General features: G+C 37.6%; 1 annotated feature.

Annotated features, from left to right (window-relative positions):
• Nucleotides 1–1,200: an enhancer, noted in NCBI's record as "CDK7 strongly-dependent group 2 enhancer chr3:31453982-31455181 (GRCh37/hg19 assembly coordinates)". NCBI's record gives its function as "activates an origin of replication core promoter dependent on BRD2, BRD4, P300/CBP, MED14 and CDK7 cofactors, with strong dependence on CDK7, by STARR-seq in HCT116 cells {active_cell/tissue: HCT116}" and the evidence as "EXISTENCE:reporter gene assay evidence [ECO:0000049][PMID:35650434]".

Raw genomic sequence — 9,072 nt, 5'->3', positions numbered from 1 at the left:
ATCAGATCAGTGCCCTTGCTTTGCATGATTTCAATATATGTGAGTTTCAGTCAACATGATATCATGAGGACTGCCTGTGATCTTTAACCTCTCTGTGCTTCAGTTTTCTCATCTGAAAATGGGAATAATAGTACCTACTTTATACAATTGTTGTGAGGATTATATAAGACAATACTTGGAAAGCATGTAAAACAAACAGTGCAATCTATGAATAGGTATTATAATTATTAGAGTAATAGCCTTAGAATTATAAGATTTTGGACCCTGAGGGGATTTTAGAGAGATAATGTAGTCTAATTCTTCACTGCACCCTCTTCTTTAGGAAAAGAAACAGAGTCACAAAGAAGTAGAATAACCTGTCTAAAGTTCTATGAGAATGAAGACACACCTGGCACCAGAATGCTCTTCTCTTAATTTCTAACTCAATACTTTCTCCAAAGCATCATGTTGATTACTCTGCTTTTAAAGATTTGTTCACAAATAATCATTCAGTTTATATTAAGGATGTATTGATCTTACTCAGCTAATATGAAGATTAGAGAGACCTGGGAAATACAGGAGCAATGTTGTAATAAGGAACTTAACAAGCTCCTTGCACTTATTCCATTGCCTTGACTCACAGGAACTCCAGGATGAGTGTGTTTGGTAAAGAGTCTCTGCAGTTCACTCCTGGGTGTTGTCATTCCAAAGGCTCTTACCGCAGAATAGTTTCTTAATTTGCCATCAGACCCAGCCTTTGATGCAGTTATTCAGACAGGTATTTATGGGGAAGCCTTGATGTGTTTACTCATTTATTCAACAAATATTTAATTAAGCACCTACTGTATGCCATGTACCATTGGGTTAAGAACTGTGGAAGTTGGCATCCAGGTAGTTCCTGGCTTGATTTATTTCATTTCTGGTTCCATTTGCTTTTCTTCTGTTCTAGGTGTTCAAAAACCACCTTGTAATAGGTCACAGCTTTCAGGTTCATTGTAGGCACTCAACAAATAATTGACGAAAGAACAAATCAAAGATGGAGGGAAAGTAACTGCAAAAGAGAGTCTTAATTCTCATCTGCAGGCCCAGCCTCAGGGCCCAACTTCCTGATTTTAGAATCTTAGTGAGAGGAGCCAGGCATGGTGGCTCCAGCCTGTAACCCCAGCACTTTGGGAGGCTGGATCACCAGGGGTCAGGAGTTTGAGAGCAGCCTGGTCAACATGGTGAGACCCTGTCTACTAAAAATATAAAAAATTAGTCAGGCATGGTGGCACGCACCTGTAGTCCCAGCTACTCGAGAAGGTGCAGTGAGCTGAGATCGCACTGCTGCACTCCAGCCTGGGTGACAGAACAAGACTCTGTCTCAAAAAAAAAAAAAAAAAAATTAGTGAGGGGTTTCATATTATTCCTAATCTTTACTTCTACCTCATCATCCCTGCACCAAAAGAAAATTAGCTTCAGTTTATTTTGAATGATCCCAAGAACTGCTCTGGCCATTAAGGAATGACTGGGTTATTTGCCAGTGGACCTTGTTCACAAATGGTTTATAACATGGATTCATCCATTTTGGAGGCTGAGTAAATCACAAGGGCCGGCCAAGAGGCTGAATTCACAAACATCAGCCTTCCTGAAAATGAGTCTGTGTTGGATATTTGAACTATTAAAATAATAGTCTACCACTATACATAGCTTTATTGTACATGGATTGTTGTCACATGCATTTGAGAGACCTGGGGGACAGTTACGTGGAAACAATATTAGGCTTTGGGTATTTGAGTAGGGGCTTGGGACAGGAGGCTGGATCATCATTATGCAGCTCAGGGCTTTTGGGTATGGATGACATCAGACTTGCAGTGAATAACTCCTTAAAAAAAAAGAAGGAAAAAGTCCCTGTTTCTATAACCATTGATTGCCCATAGTTAGGCTGATTTACTGCATATTTCTCTGTAGAGAGATTTTCTGAAGTAACTCTTTGGTTGTAACTTGATGTTTGCTTTTTTTTTTCTTTTTTTTTTTTGCAAATAATGTTTTTGTTTTAGAATAGCATGGATTCACAGAAAAGTTACAAAGATAGTCAAGAGAGATCCCATGTATTTCACAGCTTTCCCTGATGTTAACATCTTACATTACTATGGTGCTTTTGTCACAATTAAGAAATCAACATTGGCATATTACTGTTAATTAAACTCTATGGTTTATCCAGATTTCATCAGTTTTTCTCCAGAACATCATCCTTTTTCTGTCCCATGATTCTATCCAGGATACCATATTATATTTATTTGTCATGTCTCCTTAGCTTCTTTGGTATGTGACAGTTTCTGTGACGTTCCTTGGTTTTGATGACCTTGACAGTTTCAAGAAGTACTGGTCAAGTATTTTGTAGAATGTCCCTCAGTTAGGGTTTATATGATGTTTTTCTAATGATTAGACTGTGGTTATGGGTTTTTAGAAGGAAACCATGAAAGTAAAATGCCATTCTCTCAACACTTTAGTTGAGGGGTATCTGTTATCAACATGACTTATCACTGATGACGTTAACCTTGATTGCTTGGCCAATGTAATTTGCCAGATTTCTCCTTTGTGAAGCTTTTTTTCTCCCTTTACATACTACTCTTCAGCAGTAAGTCACTAAATACAGCCACACTCAAGAACTGGGGAGTTAAGTTCTACTTCCTTGAGGAAGGAATATCTACACAGATAATTTGGAATTCTTCTGTATTGGAGATTACTTTCTCTTCCCACTTGTTTATTTATTCAATAATTTATTTATATCAGTAGGGACTCATGGATATTTATTTTACAGTTTGGATTTTAATCCAGTACTACATTATTTATTTTGCTTCTCAAATTTTTCTGATTTTGGCTGTTGGGAGATCTTTCAGGTTGGCTCTTGTGTCCCTTGACGTACCCTCATCATTTTATTTTAAGCACTTCCTTACTTTCTGGTACTGCAAAATGCTCCAGGCTCATCCTGTATATTTCCTGCCCCAGTTCTAGAATCAACTATTTTTCCAAGGAGCCTTGGTTTCTTTTATTGGAAAATGACATTATAAACCAAGATCTTTGCGTTTGGTGGTGAGTTGAAGGTGCTTTTAATAGAACTTCAGCTAGGGAGCGTTTGGTGGTGAGTTGATGGTGCTTTTAATAGAACTTCAGCTAGGGAGCAAGTTGATCATCTGTGGAATTAATTAACAGCCCCATTGGGTTGTTCCAAGTTTTGACAAAGTCAACAAAAAGAGCTTTAGAACATGCAAAAAAGGGCTTATCTTTAAGAGTAAGCTTTTGGGATATTAAGGTAGAGGTAGCTACTTGTTCTATATAGCAGAAATAATCCTTTATTAAAACAATAGTTTTTAAAGAGAGATGCTCACTTTTTTCAATATTCTAGTCCTCAAAATCTTGACTGCAATTGTCATGATGGTTCGCCTCATTCTCCTATCTCTTTATACCAGTACCTGGTGGGCATCTTTATCTTGGAACTCAGAAGCCAATTACAGAAATATTAGTTTGGGAATGACTAAAGACTTTGAAATGAGAACTCTAAATATATGGGACAGAGGGTCACGAAACTCCATTGCCTGCTTCTCAGGAAGTCTACTACGGGCAGTTCTTAGTGCCTAGTGTTGCCTTTCCTGGTCCCATGCGACTCTGCTGACTCAGCCACACTGCTTGGACCTGTGATTGGTAACTTAGACAAAGGCTTGAGATTCACCTACCCTGCCTTCTTTTCTTCTCTGCGGGCTTCCCTGTAATTAACTTCCATTACCCGAGGCTCTATCTTTCACACCAATGAAGTCTGAAATGAGCCGGAGTAACAGTTAAGTTCTTAACAATTTGAAGAAAACTATGTCATTTAAAACATCTGCATATTAAGGCCAACACAGACATATACAACACTTGAATAAATTTTAAAGGTAAACATTGAGGCTTCAATATTTTTTCAGATTTGCTAAACAATGAAAAAGGCTATGGCTCCATACAGCGAAAACGAGTCAGCAGTAAAAAGAATTGAGTACTGGTATCTGCTACAATATGGATAAGCCTCAAAAAGATTACACTAAGGGAAAAAAGCCACATGAAAAAAGACCACATATTGTACGATTCCAATTATATAAAATGTTCAAAGTAGGCAAATCTACTGAGACAGAAACAGATTAGTGGTTGCTTGGGGCAGGTGGTGAAAATGGAGATTAACTGTAAACAGGCATGAGGGATCATATTGGGATGATGGAAATGTTCTAAAACTGGATTATGGTGATGGTTGTACAACTCAGTAAATTTATTAAAAATCGTTGAGTTGTAAATTTAACAGGTGAATATGACAGTCTGAAAACTACACCTCAGCAAAGTTGTTTATGAAAAATAGGTAAGGAAGAGAGAGAGAAAAAATATTATGGCTTCCAGAGCCTCTGGAGGTATATAGGTTCAGCTGTTAGGAGGATTTGGTGGGAAAGTTTTAAAAGCATAATTGTAAAGTAACTTGGAGGTGCCTAGTCCGTGCAACCTAAAAGAACCTAACTAAGCACTATTGTTACCAGCGATGAATCCGCATCTGTACGGGTCTGCAGCAACCTCACTTTTTGCCTCTTCAGAGGAAAGAATTCAAGTGAGGGGCATAAGGCCGAAGGAGAGACCGAGGCAAGTTTTAGAACAGGAGTGAAAGCTTATTAGAAAGCTTTAGAGCGGAACAAAAGGAAGATAATTATACTTGGAAGAGGGCTAAGTAGGTGACTTGAAAGACAAGTGTGTGGTGTGACCTTTTGACCTGAGGTTTTATACTTGGCATATTTCCAGGGTCTTGTGGGCCTTGTCCCCTGATTCTGCCCTTGGGGTGGACTGCTACTAAGGATGATATGAGGATAAAGTGCTTAGGAATAGTCCTTGCACACAGTGGGTGCCCAAGACAGTTGTCACTATTACTATTATTGTTCTAATGCTGGACATCAACCTCTTTTCTTTGTTTCTTTTGATATTCTGCTTGCTGGGTAACCTTTGCTCTGTCTTGGTTTAATATTAGAGTATCTTATTTCTTTTTTTCTCTCATTTTAGTAGTAAAGCATTTGTTCATTAAAGTTCACAGAAAGTTGTTAGAGTTTGTGTACGTGCTTTCAAAAGGGTCACTCTAAGTACCCACTTTTTGCTTAAGAGGTTTGCTTCCCTCCTATGTCATCTGCAACATGCCTGGCCCTAAATAATTCCTTACCCAAAAAAGACTTTTCTCTGGGTGGAGTTCAGACTCTTCCGGTCCCTCTATCTGAACTAAGCCTTCTGTCCTGTTTGTGTTTTCTGGGCTGTGGAGTAAGGAGGAGTTTTTTTTTTTTTTTTTTTTTTTTTAGCTGTTCCCCGTTTTTAGGAAGAATCATTTCCTGATTGGGGTTTGGGCTGAAAATGGAATTTTCCCTGGGTTGGGTAGAAAATTCCAGAATCCAGGACTATTTCTCAAGACAAATCCCCAGCTCCACCTCCACCACACTACCTATAACAGTTGGAGGAAACTCTTAATGGTAAGAAGCTGATGGAGTCAAATGTCCCCAACTCCACCTCCCCCACCACACGTATAACAGTTCAGAGGATATTCTTGCTTAATATAATTCCACTTTTAATATTGTTTCATATGCAAGTGCATTTTTATAAAGATGCCCATAATTTTGCCTTGACTGAATTGTTCTTCCAAGCTATATCTTGCACACGCCTCCAAGCTACATAAAGAGTTCATTACTAAATAATTTTCCTTTCTATAAGATATTCAGATAAACTGTATTGTATACTCTTTGAGGTGTGCGTGTGTGTGTTTTATTCAAAAGTACCCACAGGAGGGTAGAACGCTACAAGGAACAAATGAAGACATATTTCCACTTCATGCTGGTGGCCAGAATTGGAGGAAATCCAAACTTGGAAAAGAAAATCCTGGGCCGTGCTGCTGAAATCTCTGTGGCATTATTTTAGATTCCAAAAAGATTAACTCATGATTTAGTAAAAGTACTGCTAGGGGATATTTAAAAAAATCAATTTCATTGAGGTACTTGTTATTAATATATTATTAAATGCACTCATTCTATGTGTACAATTCAGGAAACTTGACAAAGATGTGCACTCATGTAATCACCACCACAATCAAGATATAGAACATTATTCTCTTTGCTGGGGGGATTCTTAATCCTAATAAAGTCCTCTAGTAGAAGAAGGGCAAGACTGTGAGGAATTAAGTTCTTTTAAAGGGGAGAAAGGGCCCATATTCTGAAGGACTAATGGTGGTGGGTTTTATTGCCTAGAAGAGGATGTGGCACTATTTGACCATGAGAGAAAAAAGTAAGCCAGGAACTGGAGTTTTCCATGAGAGGACCCCAAGTGAAAGCTTTCCTTTTTTTTTTTTAAATTTTACTCGAAGTCATGTTTATTATTCTGTGTTAAGTGTCACCAATCTTTTACAATGTCACAGACTGTAGGTCAGTGGCAGATGTCTAAATACAGGGCAGCAAAAGAAATACCACCGTCTCTGCATCACCCTTTGGCTGAGGCCAGCAAGGCAGAGGCTGTACCCTCTTCAGGATGAACAAGAGCCTTGCAGTTCTAGTGACAAGGCTTAAAGAAATGATGGCTCAAGATGGAGCTGGGAATGCTAGACAGGGAACATGTGATGGAAAAAGGCAGCTGCAGTTTGGACTAACTCAGAAGCAAATGTGCAGTGCATATAGACAGAGATAATCCTTAAAATAGGGTTGTCAGATTTAGCAAATAAAAATACAGAATCCCATTAAATTTGAATTTCAGATAAGCAATAAATAATTTTTAGTATAAGTAGGTCTCATGCATTATTTGGGATGTACTAAAAACTTTTGCTGTTTATCTGAAATTGAAATTTAACTGACATCTTTTATTTTATTTGGCAATCTTACAAGAAAGACCAACAACTGGATTACAATGTTGATACTGAATCAAAAGGATCAAAAGTAAAATAAGAAACATAAGAATACACATCTTAGGGAGGTTTGAATAAAGAGTGATGTGTGTGTGTGTGTGTGTGTGTGTGTGTACAAAAATGATCAAAGAGAATCAAAACTGAAAGGACAATATATATACTTTTTGACCTGAGCCTAAAGTAAGCTTGATATCTTATTTATTTGATTTGAATTTTTGCTTTCTGGAGAACTGAGTATGTTTTTGATGTTTAGTTTTGAACTGGCTTATAATCTTTTAAAAAATTGGTGCTAAAACATTTATTACATCAAAAGTGACCTTCTCTTTCACCTTTCTTCATCCTTTACTTTCAGTCTCCAGAAATAACCCATTTCAATTCTTTTTAGAAATTACATCTAATATGTACCTCCACATTTCAAATAATAATCTTATGATTTTTTTATGTTATTTTTTATATTCCCTGCAAGATAGTTGAGAAATTCACTGCTGTATACACTTCTCTGATCCTTCTGTCTCCACCTCCCCTCTCCACCATCTACCCAATCTATCACAATTTTGGTTTCAAGGAGCTGGTGTTTACATCGTTTCAAACTACAAATGCCATTCACTGCTGAGATAAGTAGTATATTATGGTCACATCTGAATACAATTTTGGTTGTTCTTGGAGTTAATAGTTACCTCTGTTTCATGAAGGAGATATTTTTCTTGGGGAGTGCTACATGTCTTGAAAGGTCTTATATTTGTGCTGGTCAGCTTTTGCAGAGAAGAATCCAGCCTCCATAATGGCGTGGGATGAAGGGGAAATAAGTTGCCTTGCTACTGTCATTTTGGGGCAGGTGGAAGAAGGAGGCTAAAGTTCCTACAGTTAAGAATGCGGATTTTTACTTAATTGCTGTGTTTTCAGTCCACTTGTAACTCTATCCCTTTGCTGTCTCCTCTTCTGCTCTGTTTGTCCTTTTGAGTTAACACATTTAAAAAATTCCTTTACTGGAATTTCACGGGGTTTGGCAAGGAAAGGGAGAAAACCATGGAGGATAATACATCTCAGCCAACTACTTTTCACAAACAATCTTTATCAGTCATGGGCCCTGAAATTCCAGCTAAATAGACTGTGCTGACTTCAAGGACTGGAGTGTTATTACTCTCCTTTCCAACTAGACTCTGAGCTGAGTACTATCTTGCTCTGTATAGGACTTGCACTTACTGAGTTTAGTTTCTAATTCTTGTACTTAGGTCATCCCTTGCTTCTTGTGGGCTCATTTTAATGGATGGAAAGAAATAGGCCAACCTGGAAACAGCTCAAAATGTAGGTGCTGGGAAGCGGGATGATGAAAGGCATGAACATGATTAAATGTTCAAATTCCTGTTGAGTGCTAAATAGAGATTCTTTGACATTGGGTCCTTTAATCAAGATTAAAAAAATTTTTGCTGAAGTGAACATGTACCTTAGTTATTAGGAAGTAGGATAGCATTTGAAATGCAATTGTGGAAGCTGTGAAATATATCCAAGAGTCCACAAAGCAGCCACATGTCTATTATTACCCATAATGAACTCCAATATAAAGAATTTGGTTGAAATCCTTTGGATATCTGTGATTTCTAAATCTATTTATGACAGCTAATGACATTCCTTGGTTATTGTTAAGAATATTCCTAGTCCTCCACTGTGGGAAGAGAGATTCTTAAGGATGCCTTGATGTATAATTAGGTGGGAATGCAGTCCTATTTCTCTTCGAAGGTTTTGAGGATAATCCTCTAGCTTGCTAACTGACCTTATTTGAAAGCTATTATGCTCATGGAAATCAGTGGAGCTTTTGTGATCTCATGTGAGTATGGAAAAAGCAATAAGTGGGAAAATATTCCATTAGATTTTATTTTTGGTATGCCTGATTAGGTGAAAAAAATAGTAACATTTACTGAGTGGCTACCATATGCTAGGCATTGTGTTAAGAGTTTTAAAGGCATTATTGTTATTTAAATCATTGGAATAATCCTATAAGGTAGACACTATGATTATATACGTTTTATAGATAAGAAAACTGGGATCATGGAGATGGTAAGTGGTGACACCATATTTTGAAGCTAGGTATTTCAGTTAGGATGTATAGTGGATAATAGCAGTGGTCTACCAGACCCTCTAGATCTGATTTTACCTGTGTGTGTGTGCATGTGTGT

Source organism: Homo sapiens, chromosome 3 (assembly GCF_000001405.40).
Source record: "Homo sapiens chromosome 3, GRCh38.p14 Primary Assembly".
Taxonomy (NCBI): domain Eukaryota; kingdom Metazoa; phylum Chordata; class Mammalia; order Primates; family Hominidae; genus Homo; species Homo sapiens.
This window is presented reverse-complemented; position numbering and strand designations above follow the sequence as displayed.